General features: G+C 39.3%; 1 protein-coding gene across 8 annotated transcripts in view; it reads left to right on the top strand.

The window, feature by feature from the left end:
* Positions 1-25,577, top strand: part of NEMF (nuclear export mediator factor) — a 70,706-nt gene that overhangs the window by 32,867 nt on the left and 12,262 nt on the right. For 4 of the 8 annotated variants that reach the window (NM_004713.6, XM_047431912.1, XM_017021761.2 and 1 more), the window contains 10 exons: positions 5,065-5,168; positions 5,872-5,934; positions 13,789-13,901; positions 16,628-16,685; positions 17,195-17,253; positions 17,349-17,469; positions 19,226-19,502; positions 20,244-20,286; positions 20,398-20,447; positions 23,978-24,131. In NM_004713.6, the coding sequence (NP_004704.3) occupies positions 5,065-5,168; positions 5,872-5,934; positions 13,789-13,901; positions 16,628-16,685; positions 17,195-17,253; positions 17,349-17,469; positions 19,226-19,502; positions 20,244-20,286; positions 20,398-20,447; positions 23,978-24,131 (1,042 nt within the window). The other 4 variants (XR_943557.4, NM_001301732.3, XM_011537317.4 and 1 more) reach the window with 4 other exon arrangements.

Genomic DNA, 25,577 nt, shown 5'->3' with positions numbered 1-25,577 from the left:
CTAATCCTCTGAAATCATTTCCCAAAGGTAATTAGCTAATGGGTATCACAACATCCTACACCCTCAGAGCAAGTGAAGGGAGGGCACTGGACTAGATGCTCACAAATGAAAACACACAGATTTTGGGTACATGCAATTGCTCTACCTCAGGGACATCAACATTCAGAACTCTCTCCTTTTCACAATGTTTCTATAAAGACAGGGATAGGCTAGGTGCGGTGGCTCACGCCTGTAATCCCAGCACTTTGGGAGACCATAGGCGGGCAGATAACCTGAGGTGAGGAGTTCGAGACCAGCCTGGGCAACATGGCGAAACCCCGTCTCTACAAAAATACAAAAATTAGCTAGGTGTGGTTGTGCACACCTGTAGTCCCAGCTACTTGAAAGGCTGAGGTGGGAGGATCACTTGAGCCTGGGAGGCAGACGTTGCAGTGAGCCAAGACTGTGCCACTGCACTCCAGCCTGGGCAACAGAGCGAGACTCCATCTCAAAAAAATAAACATATATATATATATATATATATATATATGGTCTATAATATGTTTTTATTATATACATATGCATAATGAAATGAAACAGTCAAGCACATTAACATATGCATCATCTCACGTAGTTACTCTGTTTTTTGTGTGTCTGGTAAGAGCACTTAAAAATATACTCTCAGCAAATTTCCAATATGTAATACAGTATTGTTAACTGTATTCCTCATGCCATATATTGGATGTCTAGAGTTACTCATGTTACTGTAACTTGTTAGTTTTTGACATACCTACATCAGCCCTACCGCACCCTCCTTTTCTTTTTTTCTTTTGGAGACAGAGTTTCGCTCTGTGGCACAGGCTGCTGAGTAGCTGGGACTACAGGCACTTTTTTAAAAATGTTGCTTTTGTCTCCATCTTTCATATTAGTGTCTGGTGCTCCTTGATTGTCTGTTCAACGTTTTACATTTTATGGTAGGGTATTTAAATGCTGTTTGGAAGTTCCCTGGGTGGTTGGGCTTGTGAAATGATCTGTGTTGGCCATTTTGTGTAGAATCCTCATTGTCTTTAGCCCTTTTCCCCTTGAGCTAGTCTCATTTCCCAGAAAAGATTCTTTTTTTCTCCTGCTTGTAAGGTGAAGACCTGGCTGCTGCAGCATTTGGGGAGCCCAGTGGAAATAATAGGCTGAGAGTCTTAGGATCCATAATTCATTTACTTATTTGCTGTATTTTACATATATTACTCCTGATTATATAGCTGTGCCACATTTACCCTTGTCCAGAGATCTTCTTTATACCCTTTCTAGAGAAATTAACCTCTGGCCTTCTGTTAGGAAATGGAACAGGAATTAGCTGGAAAGAACATATATGGAACTAACTGCTTCTTGAACAGACTCTCAGCCAGTCCTCCTGTTTTCATTCCCATCTTAAACTCTTATTTCCTTAAGTGTTTGTGCTGCCATTTGTTTATCCTTTTATGAGTTTTACATTGCAAATTTAGTTGTTGCTTTTTTCACCATCAGCTTAGGATTCAGCTTCTTAAGTCTGATCACAGCCGGGCGCAGTGGCTCACGCCTGTAATCCCAGCACTTTGGGAGGCCGAGGAGGGCGGATCACGAGGTCAAGAGATCGAGACCATCCTGGCTAACACGGTGAAACCCCGTCTCTACTAAAAATACAAAAAAAATTAGCCGGGCGTGGTGGCGGGCGCCTGTTGTAGTCCCAGCTACTCGGGAGGCTGAGGCAGGAGAATGGCGTGAACCCAGAAGGCGGAGCTTGCAGTGAGCCGAGATCGGGCCACTGCACTCCAGTCTGGGTGACAGTGCGAGACTCTGTCTCGGAAAAAAAAAAAAAAAAAAAGTCTCATCACTTGTCCATTTGTTTTCCAGCTTTCAAAATTTGGTTGTATTTGTCTCTTCTCCCTCTCTGTTTTGTTTGACATCTCTGTTGATGACTAGGATTATCCTGTAGTTTTCATTTCTTGTAATGTTCTTGTTGGGTATTGGTATCAAGGTCATATTGCCTCATAAAACAAGTTGGAAAGTGTTCCTTTTTCAGTTGTTCTTAAATAGCTGATGAAATTCACCTGTGAAGCTGAGTAGTCCTGGAGTTTTCTTTGGGAAAGCTTGTCATTGCAGATTCAAATTATTTAGTAAATGTAAGGACTGTTCAAATTTCCTAGTTTTGGTAAGCAGTGTTTTTTTAAAGACTTTGTCTAAAGTTTAAAATATATTGGCAGAAAGTTTATAATATTCTGCGAATTTGTCCATTTCTCCTTTTACTTCTGCCAGTTTTTGCTTTTTATATATGAGACAATGTAATTAGGTGATAAAACTATATAACTGTTACGTCTTCCTAATTAATTGAGTCTTTTATCAACTTTAATGAAATGTCCTTCTAACTTGTAACTATTTTTTCCTTGTTTGTCAGGTGTAACTAGATGAGCTTTCTTTTGGTTAGTGTTTACATGGTATATCTTTTTTATTTGTTTGTTTTTTGTTTTTTGAGACATAGTCTTGCTCTGTCACCCAGGCTGAAGTGCAGTGGTGCAATCTTGGCTCATTGCAACTTCTGCCTCCTGGGTTCAAGCAATTCTGCCTCAGCCCTCTGAGTAGCTGGGATTACAGGCGCCCACCACCATGCCTGGCTAATTTTTCTATTTTTATTAGAGATGAGGTTTCATCATGTTGGCCAGGCTGGTCTCAAACTCTGGACCTCAAGTGATATGCCTGCGTTGGCCTCCCAAAGTGCTGGGATTACAGGCATAAGCCACCGCGCCTGGCCTGTCTTTTTTCATCATTATATTTCAACCTTTCCATCCTTATATTTTAAAGGAGCATCATATATATCATTGTCATTGTTTTCCAGTCTGACAGTCTTTGCCTTTTACCTGGGCATTTAATGCATTTATATTTAATGTAATCTCTGATATATTTGGGTTTAAATCCACCCATCTTACTGTTTGCTTTTTGCTTGTCCCATTTGTTCTGTGTCCTCTTTTGTCTTCATTATTGCCTTCTTTTGATTGACTACTTTTTATTGACTTGTTGGCTATACATTCCCTTACTAGGATGATTACAAAATACATCTTTGATTTTTCTCTCCCATTCTTTTTGTCCCTATGTCTTTGTCTTTTTACAAACCTCTTTACTATCAGTAGGGGAATGGTTAAGTAAGTGTAGTGCATCCATTCAGCAATGAAGAAAATGTACTTTTAGGTGAAAAAAGCAATATTCAGAACAGTTTGTGCTATGTCTAAAAATGTATCAGGGAAACCCACCTCCAGTATTTCAACATAGGTTCTTTCTATTTTCCTTAAGTGTCAGCCAGCTGAGAAATAAAGAGAAAGAGTACAAAGAGGAATTTTACAGCTGGGCTGCTGGGGGTGACATCACGTATCCGTAGGACCATGATGCCCACCTGAGCCTTAAAGCCAGCAAGCTTTATTAAGGATTTCAAAAGGGGAGGGAGGTGCAAGAACAGGGAGTAGGTCACAAAGATCACATGCTTCAAAGGGCAAAAAGGAGAACAAAGATCACATGCTTCTGAGGAAACAGGACAAGGGCAAAATCAGAAACTCCTGATAAGGGTCCAACAAAGATCACAAGGCAAAGGGCAAAAGCAAAGATCACAAGGCAAAGGACAAAAGATTGACAGGATTAAGAGATTAAAGTAAGACAGGCGTAAGAAATTGTGAAAGTATTGTTTGGGAACTGGTAAATGTCCATGAAATCTTCACAATTTATATTCCTCTGCCACAGCTCCAGCTGGTCCCTCTGTTCAGGGTCCCTGACTTCCCGCAACAAAAAAGAGAAGATTGGGATAAATATTTTAGCTTTTCTATGTATAAAGAATCTTGAGACGGATACTCAGGAAGCCAGTCACAATGGCTCCCTCTTTGGTGTAGTGACAGGAACTGAAGGGATGCAGGATCTCTCACTATCTTTTTTATATTTTTTGTTTTTTATTTATTTATTTTTTGAGACAGAGTCTCGTTCTGTTGCCTAGGCTGGAGTGCAGGGGTGCCATCTCAGCTCACTGCAAGCTCCGCCTCCCAGGTTCACCCCATTCTTTTGCCTTAGCCTCCCGAGTAGGTGAGACTACAGGCGCCTGTCACCACACCCGGCTAATTTTTCATATTTTCAGTAGAGACGGGTTTTCACCATGTTAACCGGGATGGTCTCGATCTCCTGAGCTCGTGATCCGCCCACCTTGGCCTCTCGAAGTGCTGGGATTACAGGCGTGAGGCACCGTGTCCAGCTGACCTTTTTTATATAAGTAAAAAAATTTATTCAACCATGAGTATGTGTTACCCAATCAAAAAATCAGATTAGAAAATAGTAAAGTCCTTTCACTATTATATTAGGGAGTTTAAGTTAAGTATCTGTGCTTAGTCTACCATTTTTAACCAAAAGTTTTAAAAAGTGTGGATTAAATCATACAGAAGATAATCTCTGTAGTCATATATAATGTAGCAAGTATTTATGTTCATCTGTCTTGCATGTCATTTTCTAAATGTCATACAGATAATATACTCTGTACTTTTTATCTTGCAGGTATTAATCATGAAAACCCAAGTTATTTTGTCTTTTGAGAAAAGTTGTAATTTTATCCTCCTAAGGACAATTTTTGGTCTTTTGTATTTAAAAAAATGTAAAGAATATCATATTAAAGATTAATTACGTTCATTTATTGAGAGCAGAGTGGGAAAACAACATTTCTTTCTTATTAGTGGTCTAAAGCCTATTCAGTGCCTCACTAAAAGAAAGCTAAACCTAAGGACCATATGACATTTTATACTTTTGCTTTATGAAATTTATTGTTAGAAGTTGAGTTTAAGAAGGCTATATGGAGTAAGGAGATAACTTTTTTAAACATAGAATTTAATTTCTTTTTTCTAAGACTGTCTAAAGAATATCCTAGGGCAATTTGTATTATAGGTTTTTAGTAAAATTAAGCTTGATGCCTTAAAAAAATTAAACCATCAACTTGTCTTAAATAGCTTCCTGTTTTGTTTTGTTTGCAAAAAGGGTATGAATTCAGGCAGCTATAAAGAAAAGTTAACTTTTTTTCTTTCATTTTGATAGGTTTGAGAAATTTCTGTGGTTCATTAGCTCAGAGAACTATCTAATTATAGGTGGACGAGATCAGCAACAGAATGAAATAATTGTGAAAAGATACTTGACACCAGGTAGGTAAGATTAAAATTCGGAAAAATTTTCTCTTGAATGTTTGGATCAGTTATCTCAATATTAGGCATTGATTTTCTTGTTATACTCTTCTGTTTGATAGATTTAACTAGTAGAAAGATTTGATGCATGATGCTTCATGGTTTGTTGCATATGTGTTTTGATGCTTTTAGTTCTTAAGTGAATATTCCTAAAATGGTATTGCTGAGCTAATCTGCAGTGTTGGACTTTCAGTACATTACATTAACAGAATAACTTTCAGTCTTCAAAGTTATTGTAGGTCAAATTTTTAAAAGCTTACTGTAGTGGTGTTAAAGTTTGCAATCATTTTTCACACCTAGAAGTAGGACTTGGCCGGGCGTGGTGGCTCACGCCTGTAATCTCAGCCACTTTGGGAGGCTGAGGCAGGTGGATCACCTGAGGTCAGGAGTTCAAGAACAGCCTGGCCAACATGGTGAAACCCTGTCTCCACTAAAAATACCAAAAAAATTAGCTGGACGTGGTGGTGCACGCCTGTAATCCCAGCTACTTGGGAGGCTGAGGTGGGAGAATTGCCTGAACCTTGGGGGCAGAAGTTGCAGTGAGCTGAAATCGTGCCACTGCACTCCAGCCTGGGCGACAGAGCGAGACTCCATCTGAAAAAAAAAAAAGGAAAAAAGAATAATTAGGACTTAAAGTGTCATTTTTTATTTGTCTGTATTTAAGGAGACATTTATGTACATGCTGATCTTCATGGAGCTACTAGCTGTGTAATTAAGAATCCAACAGGTAATATATTTCTTTCTATTCAGAATTCCTGTTCCTTTCTTTAAAATATTTTTAGTGTGACTGTAAGACAAAAATTTAATAGAGGGCCAGATGTGGTGGCTCATGCCTGTAATCCCAGCACTTTGGGAAGCTGAAGTGTGAGGATTATTTGAGGCCAGGAGTTTGAGACCAGACTGGGCAAGAAAGTGAAACCTCATCTCTAGAAAAATTTTTTTAAAAAGCTGGGTGCAGTGGCATGCACCTGTAGTCCCAGCTACAGAAAGCTGAGGTGGGAGGATCAGCTTGGGTGACACACACACACACACACACACACACACACACACACCTAATAAAAAAAGATGTAATGATAAAAGGATCAGTCTTATCAAGAAGATGTAACAATTATAAACATATGTGCTGCTAATAACAGAGCCCTAGAATGCATAAAGCAAACCTGACAGAATTGAAGGGAGAGAGAGATAGTTCTACAATAATAGTTGAGGACTTTAATACCCAACTTTCAGTCATAGATAGAATAACTGGACACAGAATCAGCAAGGAAATGGAAGACTTGAACAACACTGTAAACTAAATCTAACAGACATCTCTAGAATACTCTACTTAATAGCAGCACCATACAGGTTGAGTATCCTATCTGAAATGCTTGGGACCAGAGTGTTTTTATATTTTGAAGTATTTGCATTATACTTACCAGTTGAGCATCCCAAATCCAAAAATCACAGATTCAAAATGCTGCAAAACGTTTCTAGCAAACTCCAGTGGGCATTTTCTTTGAGTCATCATGCTGCACTCAGAAAGTTTTAGATTTTGGAGCATTTTGGATTTTCAGGTTTGGGGTGCTCACCCTGTATTCTTAAGTGCACATGAAATATTCTCTGGGGTAGACCATAGGATAGTCTATAAAACAAGCCTCGGCTGGATGCGGTGACTCACACCTGTAATCCCAGCACTTTGGGAGGCTGAGGCAAGCAGATTGTGAGGTCAGGAGGTTGAGACCAACCTGGCTAACATGGTGAAACCCTGTCTCTACTAAAAATACAAAAAATTAGCTGGGTGTGGTGGCACACGCCTGTAGTCCCAGCTACTCGGGAGGCTGAGGCAGGAGAATCGCTTGAACCCAGGAGCTGAGACGGTGCCATTGCACTCCAGCCTGGGCGACAGGGCGAGACTCCATCTCAAAAAAAAAAAGCCTCAATACATTTAAAACTGTTGAAATTAGACAAAGTAAGTTTTCTGACTATAATGGGGTGAAATTAGAAACCAGGAGTAGAGAAAATGTTTTAAATTCGTAAGTATGTGGAAATTAAATACCACAGTTATAAATAAGCAATGGAACAAAGAGGAAATCACAAAAGATGCCACAAAACACTTTGAGATGAACGAAATGAAAATACAGTGTGTCAAAACTTATGAGATGCAAGAAGAGCAGCCCTTAGGGGGTAATTTATAGCTATAAATGCCTATATTTAAAAAGAAGAAAGATCTCAAATCAGTAACCTAACTTTGCACCTTAAGAACTAGAAAAACAACCCAAAGCAAGGAGAAGGAAGAAAATAGTAAATATTAGAGTAGAAATGAACAAAACAGAGAATAGGAAAAAAATAGAGAAAATGAACAAAACCCAAGTTGGTTCTTTGAAAAGATAAACAAAATTGATAAACCCTTGGCTAGACTGACCAAGAAAATAGAGGACTCAAATCCCTAAAATCAGGAATGAAATAGGGAACATTACTTCCGACTTTACAGATATTGAAAGGATTATAAGGGAATACCATGAACAATTATATACCAACAGATTATGTAACCTAGATGAAATGGACAAATTCCTAGAAAGATATAAATACTAAAACTGACTCAAGAAGAAATAGAGAATTGAAATAAACCTGTAAGTACAGAGATTGGATTAATAATAAAGAAAAACATTAAAAAAATACTCATCAAAGAAAACCCTAGGCCAGATGGCTTCACTGGTGAATTATAAAGAAGGTTGAATGCCAGTTCTTCACAAACTCTTCCAAAAAATAGGATCAGTGGGAACACTTCCTAACCCATTCTACAAGGCCAGTATTACAAAACCAAAGATAACACAAGAAAACTACAGACCAATACCGGTTATAAATATAGACAAAAATCTTTGACAAAATATTAGCAAACTGAATCTAGCAGCATATTAAAATGACTATATACGATGACAAAGCGTAATTTATCTCAGGAATGAAAGCTTGGTTCAGTATATGGAAATTAATGTAATATAATCTACTAATAAAGGACAAAAAACACACATGGATTATCTCAACTTATGAAGAAAAACCATTTGACAAAATTCAACATTTGTTTGTGATAAAAACACTCAGCAAACTAGGAATAGAAGGGATATTCCTCAACTTGGTAAACAAGCATTTATGAAAAACCGACAGCTAACAATCATACTTAATGCTGAAAGATTGGGTACCTTCCTCCTCCCATCAGTAATAAGACAAATATGTCTGTTCTTGCCATTTCTATTTAACATTATACTGGTGGTTCTATATAGGTCATTAGGCAATAAAAAGAAAAAAAAATCCAAATTAGGCAAAAGTAAAGCTACCTATGTTTACAGTTGATATGGTCACACACATTTAAAAAACCTAAAGAATCTACCAGTAATTATCAGAGCTAATAAACAAGTTCAGCAATGTCCAGGATATGAGATCAGTAAACAAAAATCAGTTGTATTTCTGTACACTACCAGTGAACAATCTGAAAAGGAAATTAATAAAACAATTCAATTTATAATTAGCATTAAAAAGAATAAAATACTTAGGAATCAATTTACCAAAAGACTTACAACGCTTATAGATAACAAACTATAAAATTATTTTAAGGAATTAAAGACCTAAATTGGACATCCCATGTATATGTATTGGAAGTCTTAATATTGTTCTGATAGCAGTACTCCCCAGTAATCTAGGAATTCACTGTAATCCCTCTCAAAATTGCAGCTGCTTTTTTTGTTTTGTTTTGAAACAGGGTCTCCTGTCACCCAGGCTGTAATAAAGTGGTGCGATTGGCTCACTGCAGCCTTGAACTTTCAGGCTGAAGCGATCCTCCCATCTCAACCTCCTGAGTAGTTGGGACCATAGACATTTGCCACTGTGCCCAACTTATTTTTGTGTTTTTTGTAGAGATGAGGTTTTGCCATGTTGTCCAGACTAGTGTCGAGCTCCTGAGCTCGAGCAGTCCATCCACTTTGACCTCCTAAAGTACTGGGATTACAGGCATGAGCCACTGCCCCTGGCCCTGCATTTTATTTTATTTTATTTTTTCAGAGATGGAGAAGCTGATTCTAAAATTCATGTGGTAATGCAAGGAGACTCAGATTAGCGAAAGCAGTATTGAAAATGAAGAGCAAATTTTGAAGGACTCATGTTTCCTGATTTTAAAGCTTTCTACAGAGTAACAGTAATCAGGACACTGGTACTGGCATGAGGATGGACAAATAGATCAAGGGATAGAATCGAGATTCCAGAAATAAACCTGTAGTTTATGGTCAGTTAATTTTCAGCAGGGGTGCCAAGACCAATGGGGATAGAATTTCCTCTTTCTTTTTTTCTTTTTTTAATTTTTTGTTTTTGGTTTTTTGAGATGGAGTCTTGCACTGTCACCCAGGCTGGAGTGCAGTGGTGTGATCTCGGCTCATGCAAGCTCTGCCTCCTGGGTTCACACCATTCTCCTGCCTCAGCCTCCCGAGTAGCTGGGACTACAGGCGCCCTCCACCACGCCCGGCTAATTTTTTGTATTTTTAGTAGAGACGAGTTTTCACCGTGTTAGCCAGGATGGTCTTGATCTCTTGACCTTGTGATCCGCCCGCCTCAGCCTCCCAAAGTGCTGGGATTACAGGCACGAGCCACCGCACCCGGCCTCTTTTTTTAAATAGACATTTTTTTCGACCAGTTTTAGGTTCACAACAAAATTGAGCAGAATGTATAGTGATTTCCCTCATACCCCCTGCTGCATGCATGCGTAGCCTCCCCTATTATCGATATCCCCCACCAGAACGGTACATTTGTTACAACTAATGAACCTACATTGACACATCATTATGGCCCAGAGTCCATAGTTTGCATTAGAGTTCACTCTCTTTTTTTGAGACAGAGTCTCGCTCTGTTGCCCAGCCTGGAGTGCAGTTGCGTAATCTCAGCTTACTGCAACGTCTGCCTCCCAGGTTCAAGCGATTCTCCTGCCTCAGCCTCCAGAGTAGCTGGAATTAACAGGCACGTGCCACCACACCCAGCTAGTTTTTGTATTTTTAGAAGAAACAGGGTTTTACTATGTTGGCCAGGCTGGTCTCGAACTCCTGACAAGTGTTCTGCCCACCTCAGCCTCCCAAAGTGCTGGGATTACAGGCATGAGTCACCAAGCCCAGCCAGGGTTCACTCTTGATGTATATAGTCTTTGAGTTTGGACAAATGTGTAAAACATGTATCTGCCATTGTATTATCATACAGATTTAGTTTGGTTGTGCTAAAAAAGTCCTCTGTGCCCTGCCTGTTCATCCCTCCCTTCCCCCAACCCCCGACAACCACTGATCTTTAAAGGCTGGCTTCTTCACTTAGTAGTATGCTTTTACCTTTCCTCCATGTCTCTTCATGGCTTGATAGCTCATTTCTTTTTATCCCTGAATAATATTCAGTTGTCTGGATGAACCACAGTTTATCCATTAATCTACTGAATTTGGTTGCCCCCATGTTTTGGCAATATGAATAAAGCTACTATAAACATCTGTGCAGGTTTTTGTACAGATATAAGTTTTCAGTTCATTTTGGTAAATACCAAACATCAATATTGTTGAATCACATGGTAAGAGTATTTTTAGTTTTGTAAGAAACCACCAGACTGTCTATTCTAAAGTGGCTGTACCCTTTTACATCACCACCAGCAATGGGAGTTCCTGTTGTTCCACTGCCACCAGAATTTAGTGTTGTCAGTGTTTTGGATTTTGGCCATTATCATTGATGCATAGTGTATTTCAATGTTGTTGTAATTTGCATTTCCTTGGTGACATATGATGCAGAGCATCTTTTCATATGCTTATTAGATATTCATATGTATATCTTCGATGCAGTATCTGTTAAAAGTCTTTGGCCCATTTGTTAATTGGGCTGTTTGTGTTTTTACTGTTGAGTTCTAAGAGTTTTTTTATATTTTAGATAACAATCTTTTATCTGCTATGTCTTTTGCAAGTATTTTCTGCCAGTCAGTGGCTTAACTTTTTAACGGTAGTATGGCACTACTAGATATCCACATGCAAAAGATTGAGGTTAGACCTCTTAATCACACCATTTATAAAAATTAACTTAAAATGCATCCAAGACCTAAACTTAAAAGCCAGAAGTATAAAGCTGCTAGAAGAAAACAAGGCATAAATTTTTATGATCTTGTATCATGCAGTAATTTCTTAGATATGATACCAAAATCATAAGTAATCAAACAAAAAACAGGTAAGTTAGACATAAAATTAAAAACCTTAATTCAGCCCGGCACGGTGGCTCATGCCTGTAATCCCAACACTTTGGGAGGCCGAGGCAGGTGGATCACCTGAGGTCAAGAGTTCGAGACCAGCCTGGCCAACATGGTGAAACCCTGTATCAACTAAAAAATATGAAAAATTAGCCTGGTATGATGGCGGGTGCCTGTAATCCAAGCTACTTGGGAGGCTGAGTCAGGAGAATCGCTTGGACCCTGGAGGCGAAGGTTGCAGTGAGCTGAGATGGCATCATTGCACTCCAGCCTGGGCAATGAGCGAAATTCTGTCTCAAAAAATAAAATAAATAAATAAAACCTTAATCCAAGGAACATTATCAAGAAAGTAAAAAGACAACCCACAGAATAAGAGAAAATATTTGCAAATCATATATCTGATGAGTCTAGTGTCCAAAGAATTCCTAAGTTTCAACAATAGAAAGGGAAGTAACCCAGCTGAAAAATGAGCAAGAGATTTGAATGGATATTTCTGCAAAGATACGTGAATGGCCAACAATCACATGAAACGATTCTCAGTATCATCAGTTATTAGGAAAATTTAAATCAAAATCACAAGATACCAGTCAGGCGCTGTGGCTCATGCATGTAATCCCAGCACTTTGGGAGGCAGAGGCAGGTAAATCACTTGAGGTCAGGAGTTTGAGACCAGCCTGGCCAGTATAGTGAAACCCCATCCCTAGTAAAAAAATATATATATATAAAAATTAGCCGGGCGTAGTGGTGCATGCCTGTAATCCCAGCTACTCAGGAGGCTGAGGCAGGAGAATCACTTCCCAGGTGGTGGAGGTTGCAGTGAGCCGAGATCACGCCACTGCACTCCAGCCGGGGTGAAAAGAGAGAGACTCCGTCTCAAAAAAAAAAAAAAAAAAAAATCACAAGATACCACTTTATACCCACTAACATGTGCTGGTGATGATGCTGGAGAAAACAATAACACGTGTTGGTGATGATGGTGGAGAACATAGAATACTGCTGGTAGGAATGGACAATGATACAGCTGCTGTGGGAAGTGGTTTGGCAGTTCCAAAAAATGTTAAACATAATTGACCCAGCAATTCCTCTCTTAGGTATATACCCAAGATGAGCAAAGGTATGTGTCTACACAAAACTTGTTTGCAGATATTGATAGCAGCATTATTTATAATAGCCAAGAAATGGAAACAATCCATATGTCATTCAATTAATGAATAAACAAAATGTGATATATCCATATAATGGAATATTATTCAGACTTGCAAAGAACAGAAGTACTTATATGTGCTTTTAACATGGATGAATCTTGAAAAACATTAAGCTAAGTGAAAGAAGCCAAACCTAAAATGCTGTGTATGATTACATTTGTATGAAATGTCCAAAATAGGCAAAACCATAGAGACAGAAAATAGATTAGTAATTGCCAGGGGCTGGGTACAGAGGAGAAAATGGGGAGTGGCTGCTAATGAATATAGGGTTTCTTTTCTGGGATGATGAAAATATTCTGGAATTAAATAGTATTGATGGTCATGGTCACACAGCATTATGAATATACAAAAAGCCACTGAATTGTATACTTTAAAGGGGTGAATTTTATGGCATGTGAATTATACCCCAATTTAAAAATATTTGAAATCTAACCATAAGGGACATGTTATTCATATATGCTCTTCATGTTCATGATTCAGCCAATCTATTTTAATTTTGGAAGTCTTCAAACTTTAAATGGATTTCTCTAAATTATCTTTTCTGGAGTGAAGTTAGAATTATTGATGTGAGAGGATATTTCTTCTCTGACATGTTTTATTTACGTAGGTCATTTAAAAGCTTGCTCTGTAAATAGGAGTATTAAAAATACATTTTTAATTAAAATAGTAACTTTTTATAATGGTGAAGTAAAAATGTATTAGTATTTAAGATATGTGATTGACCGGCCGGGTTCGGTGGCTCATGCCTGTAGTTCCAGCACTCTGGGAGGCCGAGGTGGGTGGATCATGAGGTCAGGAGTTCAAGACCAGCCTGACCAAGATGGTGAAACCCCATCTCTACTAAAGATACAAAAATTTAGCCGGGCATGGTGGCGGGCGCTGGTAATTGCAGCTACTCGGGAGGCTGAGGCAGAGAATTGCTTGAACCCGGGAGGCGGAGGTTGCAGTGAGCTGAGATTGCGCCATTGCACTCCAGCCAGAACAACAGAGCGAAACTCCATCTCAAAAAAAAAAAAAAAAAAAAAAATATATATATATATATATATATATACACATATCATTGACCCTGTCATGCGGCATGTGATTTTCATATCTTGCTCTGGAGAAAGTCCATACTTTGGTATTGAAACATTATGCATTGTTATTCTAGGAGAACCCATCCCCCCACGGACCTTGACTGAAGCTGGCACAATGGCACTTTGCTACAGTGCTGCTTGGGATGCACGAGTTATCACTAGTGCTTGGTGGGTGTACCATCATCAGGTAATAAGGGCTCTTGTCCTTTTTCTTAATTTACTAAGAGCTACTGTGTGCCAAATTTTGAGAGTATAGAAGTAAATAAAGCAGACAAGGCTCAATAGAGCTAACTCTTTTTGGTAGAGGAAAATATGTACATAATGTCAGGTAATAAGTGCCATAAAATAGTGTTTTTAAAAGCATGGAAGGGGATAGAGAGTGATAGGGGATACCGTTTTGGATGAAGTATTGGGGGAACCTTTCTAGGAAGGTAGGATTTGAGCAGAGAGGTAAATGAAGAGAGAGTGATCCACACAATTATACAGGATAAAGAGTGTTCCAGTTATTATTGATTATTATTGGCATACTGACCTAAAAGGCCTTTCTTCTGTTCATCTTTGTTGGAATATTCTGAATTCTCTTGGGCACTTCCAGAAAAGTAGGCATATCCTGTTTGTTTTTTTTTTTAAATTCACTTGTTTTTATTAATTGCCCTTCTTTGTGGTTAATGATGTTGTTGGGGTTTTTTTGCATTTTTTTTTTTCTTTATAGAGATGAGGTTTCACCATGTTGGCCAAGCTGGTCTCGAATTCCTGACCTTAAGTGGTCCTCTTGCTTCAGCCTCCCAAAATGCTGAGATTACAGGCATGAGCCATGGTGCCTGGCCAGTGCTGTTGAGTTTGGTGATACTTCATTCTATATTTGACCTCACATTGCTATTGATTTCTTATCATACTTTTGAGAATTATAATTGATGATGATGTACTTTTATAAGTTCCTAAAGCTGTACAGTAGGATAAAAAGAATTCAGTTTCATTATACTCCCTTAGATTTAGTTTCATTTTTATATCTTTTTATATTATATGCTGTGCTGTGATATTGTCATATAGGGGGATTATAAATTGCTACCTCAGTGCTGTTATAAAAGTGGTTTTAATTCTTTCATTAAGAAATTTTTTAGAATGAAATTTAGTGTTTTTAATCCCTTGCTGGTTTTTTGTGTTTGTTTGTTCGTTTTGAGATGGAGTCTTGCTCTGTTGTCCAGGCTGGAGTGTAGTGGTGCAATCTTAGCTCACTGCAGCCTCCGCCTCCTGGGTTCAAGCGATTCTCCTGCCTCTGCCTCCTGAGTAGCTGGGACTACAGGAGTGTCCCACCATACCTGGCTACTTTTTCTATTTTTGTAGAGATGGGGTTTTGCCATGTTGGCCAGGCCAGTCTCAAACTCCTGGCCTCAAGTGATCCTCCTGCTTCCGCCTCCCAAAATGCTGGGATTACAGGCATGAGCTAGCACACTTGGCCCCTTGCTATTTTAATAACTATGACTAATAAAGATACTCTCAAGATTTGGGGGTTTCACAGATGTATAAATTTTTTTTTTTTATGAGATGGAATGTTGCTCTGTCACCCAGGCTAGAATGCAATGGCGTGATCTCGGCTCACTGCAACCTCTGCCTCCTGGGTTCAAGCAATTCTCTGCTTCAACCTCCCGAGTAGCTGGGATTATAGGCACCCACCACCACGCCTGGCTAATTTTAGTAGAGACAGGGTTTCACCATCTTAGCCAGGCTGGTCTTGAACTCCTGACCTCACAATCCACCTGCCTTGGCCTCCCAGAGTGCTGGGATTACAGGTGTGAGCCACTGTACCTGGCCCCAAAATTTTTTTAAATTATGGGATAAGTTTACTCACTTTCTGTTTTGCCAAAATAGGATATATTTTTAAAAATCTGCTATTTCATATAGACAAAGGTTACTTTTGCCTCATGCCTGTAATCCCAGCACTTTGGAAGGCCAAGGTGGGCAGATCATGAAGTCAGGAGTTCAAGGCCAGCCTGGCCAATATGGTGAAACCCCGTCTCTACTAAAAAATACAAAAATTAGCCGGGCGTGGTGGTGCGCACCTGTAATCCCAGGTACCTGGGAGGCTGAGGCAGGAGAATCTCTGGAACCTGGGAGGTGGAGATTGCAGTGAGCCAAGATCAAGCCACTGCACTCCAGCCTGGGTGACAGTGTGAGACTCTGTCTCAAAAAAAAAAAAAAGGCAAAACTTTATTATCAAAAACAGTATCTTAGACAAGGATTTTATTTAATAAATAGAGCTTTATTTTAGTAAACATAGCTTTATGATAAGCTCATTAACCTATCCTTAGTTTTCTCATTACATCTCATGCTGGAAGAGATGAGTGGACCAGTTCTGGCTGTCGTCCATGGCATTTGAAAATTATTGCCGGGCATAGTGGCTCACGCCTGTAATCCCAGCACTTTGGGAGGCCGAGGCAGGCGGATCATGAGGTTAGGAGTTCAAGACCAGCCTGGCCAACATAGTGAAACCCCGTCTCTACTAAAAATACAAAAATCAGCTGGGCATGGTGGTGCGTGCCTGTAGTCCCAGCTACTCAGGAGGCTGAGGCAGGAGAATCACTTCAACCAAGGAGGTGGAGGTTACAGTGAGCCGAGATTGTGCCACTGCACTTCAGCTTGGGCAACAGAGTGAGACTTCATCTCAAAAAAAAAAAAAAAGAAAGAAAATTATTGATGTAGTGGATTCTTTGTTTTTTTCTTTGTTACTTCCAAAGGCTTATCTGTCATTAAAGGGGTATCTTTCCCTTTAGTATTGAGAATTTGTACGAAATTATAAACTTTTCAGAAGACAGTGTGGCTTACTTGACTCTGACTTTACTTTCTCCTCAAGTGGAAAAAGAAAACTAGAGTATTTTTTTAAATAAGAATATAATGTATTATTGTGTTCTTCAGGTATCTAAAACAGCACCAACTGGAGAATATTTGACAACAGGAAGCTTCATGATAAGAGGTAATGTCTTGACAGGAAAAATATCACTAGACTTGTCAATGGATTATGGAGACAGGTTTGAGACAGTTTACAAATACTCTTAGAACAAAAACAAATTACTCGGATTTCCTATGTGAAGTCTGCTATGAAGTAAAGAAATTTTTGCCTTGGTGTGACAAGTTTAGTGTTTGTCATATCTTCTTCATGTATATTTTTATTGAGGGCAGTGCACTTTCACATAGTTTAGTTATAAGGGTAAGAAAGGATAGCCTGAACTTATTTCTGAAAATAGAATATTCAGGGTCTGACTGACCCAGAATATCAGAGCAAGTGTGTATATTTTTTACTTCTTAATAACTGTTCCTATACATACTGCCCAGTTCTATAAATGGGAAATGTTATTCTTGACATAGTAAAAGACAAAATGGATATGACCATTAGTGTCATCTGACACTAATTTTTTTTTGTTTTACAAGCAAAAAATGGAGAAGACTGATTTTCAAAGCATTAATGTACGTTATCTTTTGTAGGAAAAAAGAATTTTCTTCCTCCCTCATATCTAATGATGGGGTTTAGCTTCCTTTTTAAGGTACTCTTCAACTTCTTGGTTATTTATTTGTTTTTTTCCTGATTTTCATTAGTCTTGTCTGAAGCTCCGTCACTGAAAAATAACTGTTTCTTTAGGTAGATGAGTCTTGTGTTTGGAGACATCAGGGTGAACGAAAAGTCAGAGTACAGGATGAAGACATGGAGACACTGGCAAGTTGTACAAGTGAACTCATATCAGAAGAAATGGAACAATTAGGTAGTTTATAGATTTTAAGAAATTAGCTTGTGATGTTTTTTGTTACCTAGTTTTGCTTCTAAATCCTTAGAAGATCATGTCTCTTTGGGATAATCTAAATTTCAAAAAAACCCCGAAAACCCAAAGTACGTGCTGTTTTACTGAATTTTTTTTTTTTTGGAAATGCTAAATATACTTATTCTAGTGAATTTAAAAGTATTTATCAGTCCGGGCATTGTGGCTCATGTCTGTAATCCCAGCACTTTTGGGAGTCCGAGGCAGGTGGATTGCTAGAGCTCAGGAGTTTGAGACCAGCCTGGGCAACATGGCAAAACCATCTCTACCAAAAAAATCACCCAGGCGTTGTGAGCGCCTATAGTCCCAGCTACTGAAGAGGCTGAGGTAGGAGGATTGCTTGAACCTGGGAGGCAGAGGTTACAGTGAGCCTAGATCACGCCACTGCCACTGCACTCCAGCCTGGGCCACAGAATGAGACCCTGTCTCAAAAAAAAAAAAAAAGTATTTAATTGGATCCATACTAACATACTTTAATGTATGTTTATATAGTGAGACTTCAGTATTTAATGGGTAATGCATAAATGTGTTTAACAAAGGTAGACTCGGGTAAATGTGCATTAGCATTTAGTTTTGGGTTTAGGAATTACAAGTGATAGATGAATTTATAAAGTGCAGTTTCTCATATGAAAATTTGGCTTGATTTAATAAAATATTTGTTTCAAGTAGAGAGCAATTATAGTTGCTGGAATAAATTCATCTGCCTACCTGAGGAAACTAGGGAAAATATTCCCACTAAACTACTTTTGTAGTTATTCTCTCTGCTAAGGTCATTCCTCTTTACAGGTAATATTGCATTGTTTCATTTACTATTACTGTTGTGCTGCAAGATTTTGTTGATTGAGGCTCACCATTTCCCTGGGACTGTATAAAGTGCCTTATTTACATTCTTTTCTTTTTTTTTTTCCCCCCGAGAGGGAGTCTCAGTCTGTCGCCAGGCTGGAGTGCAGTGGCACAATCTCGGCTCACTGCAACCTCTGCCGCCCAGGTTCTAGCAATTCTTCTGCCTCAGCCTCCCGAGTAGCTAGGATTACAGGCGCCTGCCACCACGCCTGGCTAATTTTTGTATTTTTAGTAGAGACGGGGTTTCACCATCTTGGCCAGGCTGGTCTTGTACTCCTGACCTTGTGATCCACCCACCTCGGCCTCCCAGAGTGCTAGGATTACAGGCATGAGCCACTGCACCTGGCCTATTTACATTATTTTCTATTCTCACAACCATCCTTGTCAGATGAGTGGTGGCATCTCATTTTACAGGTGAGGCAGTAGACCCTGTTACTACTATTAGACAGTGTTCCTTTTGCAGAAGAATGAGCACCTGCTATGTGGGCGTTATATAATACGTATTTAAGTTTTTATGTGCAAATTATAATAAAAGCAGCAAAAGTTATGCAACTAATTTTGCTGTCTTGGTTTTTGGAAATACCCAACTAAGGCAGAGTTGTGGTTTTCATTGTTGAAAGGGTAGCAATGTCCAAGAAATTTATTGTGGTAAAGGATCTTGGAGATCATTTAGTTCAACCTATTCATGATACAGGTTATTCTTTTGTCTAAGAGTACCCTTTGGGAATGATCAGACACTTTTCTGTTGATTTTTTGGAGAAATATGGGAGAAACAGTGGAATATTTTTATGACATTTTTAGGAAATCACCTGGCTTGGTTGGTAGTCCCACACTGACTTTCCTTATGATAATTCTACAGATGGAGGTGACACGAGCAGTGATGAGGATAAAGAAGAACATGAAACTCCTGTGGAAGTAGAACTCATGACTCAGGTTGACCAAGAGGATATCACTCTTCAGAGTGGCAGAGATGAACTAAATGAGGAGCTCATTCAGGAAGAAAGCTCTGAAGACGAAGGAGAATATGAAGAGGTTAGAAAAGATCAGGATTCTGTTGGTGAAATGAAGGATGAAGGGGAAGAGACATTAAATTATCCTGATACTACCATTGACTTGTCTCACCTTCAACCCCAAAGGTAATTAAAAAATAAAATTTTACATATTATTGTGTAAGCTGAGAATGATGATGAGGTAATCCTTACAAAGATAATACCAAGATTGACATCAGTACTTTTACACTCCATTGTCTTAATACTTTTTCAACATTTGATTGGGTCTCTCTGCAAAGAAATTCCCAGGACCAGGGTAGAAAAATACAGTGCATATAGAGTGGCCAAACTAGATCCAAATAGAAACAAGTAAATGGTTATAAATGCTAAAAACATAACAAAGGCAATTCCATCAAAGAAATGTGTTTTAGTCTATATAATGTTTTGCAGATCATCAGGTGAATAGTCCATAGTTATAAATGCATAATTAACTTAGGGGTAATTCAGAACAGTCTAGGAGTCAGACAGACCAGTATTGGGTCTTAGGGTGCGTCCTTGGGAAAATTACTTTGTGCTTAAGCTTCAGTTTCCTTCTTGGTGAAAACAGAATGGTATCCCTTTCATAGGGATTTGGTGAAGGTTTCATGCGTGTATACCATCTGGCAGTGCCTGACACACAGTAAGTTTTCAATACACGTCACCTATTTAAAAATGTATATGGAAGTGTGGAGAGAGGAGCAATTTGGTTGTATGTTTTTCTCACTTCACCAAATTTGAAAATTTGTTGGATTGCCAGTACTTAAGAGTATGATATGGGAATGTTTTGGGACTTTGTAAATGCATGTCTTTTACAGGCTAGTAGAGACTCCCTTGTGTTTATTTTCATAGGTCCATCCAGAAATTGGCTTCAAAAGAGGAATCTTCTAATTCTGTAAGCTATTTTCAGTTTTATGAAGAACATCCGATTCTCAGTGAATAATTTTCTACTTTTCAAAAAAGTTAATAGTGATATTTGCATTTGCCTGTTTTTTTGTTTTAATAGAGTGACAGTAAATCACAGAGCCGGAGACATTTGTCAGCCAAGGAAAGAAGGTAAACACATCTGTGTTAATTAACTAAAAAGCATGTTTTTCTTTTTTTTTTAATTGATAGCTCAGCTACCACAGATTACTTAGCTGTTTAAAGACTTCCTTCATTAAATTTACCAAGATTTAGCACAAATGTTTAGTTTTTAATATTAAGCTCTAATACATTTTTCTGTTTAAGGGCCCTAATCTATAACTATAATCAATGAAATAGACCTAGTAGAGTAAGTCCTCACTTAACATTTTCCTTTTTTTTTTTTTTTTTTTTTTTTTTGAAACAGGGTCTCGCTTTGTTGCCCAGGCTAGAGTGCTATGGCGCAGTCATGGCTCACTGCAGCCTCAAACTCCCAGGCTCAGGCAGTCTCCTGCTTCAGCCTCCTGAGTAGCTGGGACTACAGGCGTGTGCCACTACAAAAATTTTTATAGTTTTTGTAGAGACAGGGTTTCATCATGTTGCCCAGGCTGGTCTTAAACCCCTGGGCTCAAGTGATCCTCCCACCTTGGCTGCCCAAAGTGCTGGGATTACAGACATGAGCCATTGTGCCCGGCCTTCACTTAACATTTTCTTTTTTTTTGAGATGGAGTCTCGCTCTGTCGCCCAGGCTGGAGTGCAGTGGCATGATCTCGGCTCACTGCAAGCCCCACCTCCCGGGTTCACGCCGTTCTCCTGCCTCAGCCTCCCGAGTAGCTGGGACTAGAGGCGCCCACCACCATGCCCGGCTAATTTTTTGTATTTTTAGTAGAGACGGGGTTTCACCGTGTTAGCCAGGATAGTCTCGATCTTCTGACCTCGTGATCACCCGCTTTGGCCTCCGAAAGTGCTGGGATTATAGGCATAAGCCACCGCGCCTGGCCCACTTAACATTTTCAATAGGTTCTTGGAAACTTGGACTTAAGGGAAACAGTGTGTAATGAAACCAGTTTTGCCATGGGCTAATTGATATAAACAAGAGTTAAGTTCCTCTGGCATATTTTTGGTCACAAAACCATCACCAAGCTTCTAAATAAAGACTGAAAACTCTTCTAATATTAAACGTTAAAATAAATGTAAACTGTATGTATATTTAAGAAAGATGAATGAAAGCGAGCAAGATAATTATTTACCCAATTTTTGGTAAATCAATGAGTGATGGCAGTTGTAGTGGTAGTGGGTTAAATCAAGGATTATTTGCAAAGTGAAAACTATAGAGTACCTCCTACTACCATGAGGTTCAAAAACAAAAATGTGGCACATTCATTAAACACTTTCATACTACATTGTTGATTGTTATACATTTGTATGACTATAGTTTATGAATTTTTGACAATCATTTTTATTAAGTCATTCATTCATTCATTCATTCGTTTTTCAACCGCTTATTCCAGTTAAGGGTCATTGGTGGCTAGAGCCTATCCTGGCAGGTCAGGGCAAAAGGCCAGAACCAACCTAGAACAGGATGTCATTCTGTTGCAGGGCACACATACCTGCACTCATTCATGCTGGGATAATTTACACACACCAGTTAACCTGACATGCGCATTTTGGGATGTGAGAGAAAACCTGAGTACCTGGTGAAAACCCACAAAGACATGGGGAGAACATGTAAACTCTGCACAGATGGTAGCCGTGGCCAGGAATCAATTTTGTTCTCATCAAAGTTATAACACAATGATGTTGAATGAAATGATGTTATTTGAGGACTAGCTCTAATAAGACCTTTTATTACATAAACATGTACAATAATGATTTCAGTGTATTACATAGACTAGTTCTAGGGTGATATTGTCAGGAATAAATATGAATACCTGAAATTAGGAAAGTTTTATGTAAGGCAGAATAGTTGATTTTTTGTTTTTTGTTTTTTTTGAGACGGAGTCTCGCTCTGTGGCCCAGGCTGGAGCGCAGTGGCTGCGATCTCGGCTCACTGCAAGCTCTGCCTCCCAGATTCATGCTATTCTCCTGCCTTAGCCTCCCGAGTAGCTGGGACTACAGGCACCCACCACCACGCCCGGCTAATTTTGTTTTTGTATTTTTAGTAGAGATGGGGTTTCACCGTGTTAGGCAGGATTGTCTCGATCTTCTGACCTCGCGATCCACCCGCCTTGGCCTCCCAAAGTGCTGGATTACAGGTGTGAGCCACCGCGCCTGGCCGATTTTTTTTTTTTTTTTAATAGCAGGTCTCAGGAAGCAAGTAGAAGCAAGGGAAGGGCGGAAGGGAAGGGAACAACTACTGTAGGGTGGGAAAGACTAAGCAAACTAAAGCACTCCAGGAAGAGGCCCTAGAACAGAATGGACAATAAAGCCTTTTCATTTGAGAAACATAATCATTGAACAATTACAGAGAATTCTGAGCACATAGCCCTGTGCTAGATACTTACTGAGTATACAAAGAGGTGAAGTATAAAGCTCATGCCTTCAAGAAGCTTTTGAGTCCTGGATTCAGGAAGTAGTCATAAATATGTAAATAGTGTCTGAAAGTGATAAAGTAGTTCAAGAGTAAGAGATTGCTGTGAGTTCAGATGTTTGGGGAAATAACATCAGAAGTATACCTTGAAAGATATGTTAGCAGTTAAGTAAATGAAGGAGGGAGACTCCAAGGAGAATTAGCATTAACAAAGGGGAGTGCTTCTTTGGGGTAATATGCATAGTGCTTTGGGGAAATGATAAATAGACTGAGTTGGAAGGAAGAGAAAGTTTGTGTATTAAATGGTAGATAATATGATTGGAGAAGTAAATTTGGACTAAAAGTGGAGTACTTAAAAGCTAAGGATTTTGGACTATACCCTTTAAAGTGATACGAAGAGAATGTGACATAGGCAAATGATTAAGGAAGATTAATATAGAAGTTAATGGCCGGATGTGGTGGCTCACGCCTATAATCCCAGCACTTTGGGAGGCCAAGGCGAATAGATCACCTGAGGTCAGAAGTTTGAGACCAGCCTGACCAACATGGTGAAACCCCATATCTACTAAAAATACAAAGTTAACTGGGTGTGGTGGCACAAACTCCGTTTTAAAAAAAAAAAATTCAGAGTATGTAGACTCTGGAGGAAGTCTGGGTGGGATGTAATGAGGACCTGAACTAAGACGTTGGCATTGGGAACAGAAAGAAGAATACCACAGTAATAAAATTTACCCTTCCTTCTTAACCTGTGTATTTTTAATCCATTTAGTCAACCAACCGGTCAACAGATGTTTTATTGAATGCCTAAGACCTGCCAATGCTATGTTGGTACAAAGACTACAAATCCCAGTGCCTGGCCATCAAGGTGATCAGGGGCAAAATGTGCCTAGTGAGTAAGGATGAGTCAGGGGTGACAATATGTTGAGCTTGGATGATGGAAAGAAAGATAAATCCATGAGAGATGAAAAACTTGCATCTTTTTCCCACATGATGATTTTAAGCATCTTTGTATTTTCTAACTTGGTGATTATCAAGTGAAGCAGAAGCCATGACCATTTATATACTGTATATGTGCCTTCCCCATGGAACTTTTTTAGGGCACTAAGAATTTCAAATTCTAAGAATGAAATGTTTTCATGTCTTTTTTATTCAGGGAAATGAAAAAGAAAAAACTTCCAAGTGACTCAGGAGATTTAGAAGCGTTAGAGGGAAAGGATAAAGAAAAAGAAAGTACTGTACACATTGAAACTCATCAGAACACAAGCAAAAATGTTGCGGCTGTGCAGCCAATGAAACGAGGACAAAAGGTAAACTTCAGGATGATCTATATGGTTCACAGTTAATTTGTGAGGTTCCTTTTTAATTTTTTAAAGTTGAAGTGAAATAGAAAATGTAGGCCAAAAAATAATCCTGTGTGATTTCCTTTGACTAAAAATTAGTTGAGTAGATACAGCATTTAGGGAACACAGAGATCACTATTAGAAGTTCTTTAGACTTTCAAGATCATCTGCACAGAAGCTCTCATTTTATCTGGAAGAGTAATAGGAGATTATGGCTTGCCAAAGTCACCCAGCTAGTTAAGTAGCAGAGCTGATATTTATTGAGAATTTAGCTCAGTAATTTTTAGATTTTGGTTAGAGTTCTTAGATATTTTGCTAAAGGTGGATGGTGAAGAAAGAAGTACTTATGATAGAACATACTCTTTCCACACTGCCCCTGCCCCCACCTCCCCACCCCCCAACCCCGCTGTCAGCTCCCCCAAGATAGTCTTGCTCTGTCACCCACGCTGGAATGCAGTGGTGCAGTCAGGGCTCACTGCACTAGCCTTAACTCCTAGGCTCAAGTGATCCTCCCATCTCAGTCTTCCAAGTAGCTGGGACCGCACAGGTGCATGCCACCATGCTCAGCTAAATTTTTTTATTTTTTGTAACGATGGGGTCTAACTATATTGTCTGGGCTGGTCTCAAACTCCCAGGCTCAAGTGATCTTCCTGCCTCACCCTCCCAAAGTGCTTGTAACTAGAGGTGTGTTAGCCACCATGTCTGGTTATGATATAATACACTCTTCAAAATGCTGTAGCAGCCAGGCACAGTGGCTCATGCGTGTAATCTCAGCACTTTGGGAGGCTGAGGCAGGTGGATCACTTGAGGCCAGGAGTTCAAGACCAGCCTATCCAACATGGTGAACCCTATCTCTACTAAATATAGAAAAATTAGCCAGGCATGGTGGTACATGCCTATAGTCCCAGCTACTCGAGAGGCTGAGGCAGAAGAATTGCTTGAACCCAGGAGGCGGAGGTTGCAGTGAGCCAAGATCACGCCACTGCACCGCAGCCTGGGTGACATGGCGAGACTCGCCTGTCTCAAAAAAAAAAAAAAAGCTGTAGCAGTATAAAAATGAGGGGATTATGGGCTAATTTATCAGTGTACCCCTTTTAAAATTTAAATTTCTTTTCAATTTTTTTTTTTTTTTTTTTTTAGAGACAGGGTCTTGCTCTGTTGCCCAGGCTGGAGTGTAGTGGCTATTTACAGGCATGTTTGTAGCATACTACAGCTTTGAACTCCTGGGCTCACGCATTCCTCCTACCTCAGCCTCCTAAGTAGCTGGGACCACAAGTGCATGCCACCACACTAGGCTATAATCTTTATAAAGATGTTTTATGATCTTTCCTTCTTCCATACAGGTCAGATTTTCCTATGCTTTTTTCCAGTGAGCTGCAAATGACATGTGCATAAGGAAGGGAAGACTCAACC

This window comes from Homo sapiens, chromosome 14, assembly GCF_000001405.40.
Source record: "Homo sapiens chromosome 14, GRCh38.p14 Primary Assembly".
Taxonomy (NCBI): domain Eukaryota; kingdom Metazoa; phylum Chordata; class Mammalia; order Primates; family Hominidae; genus Homo; species Homo sapiens.
This window is presented reverse-complemented; position numbering and strand designations above follow the sequence as displayed.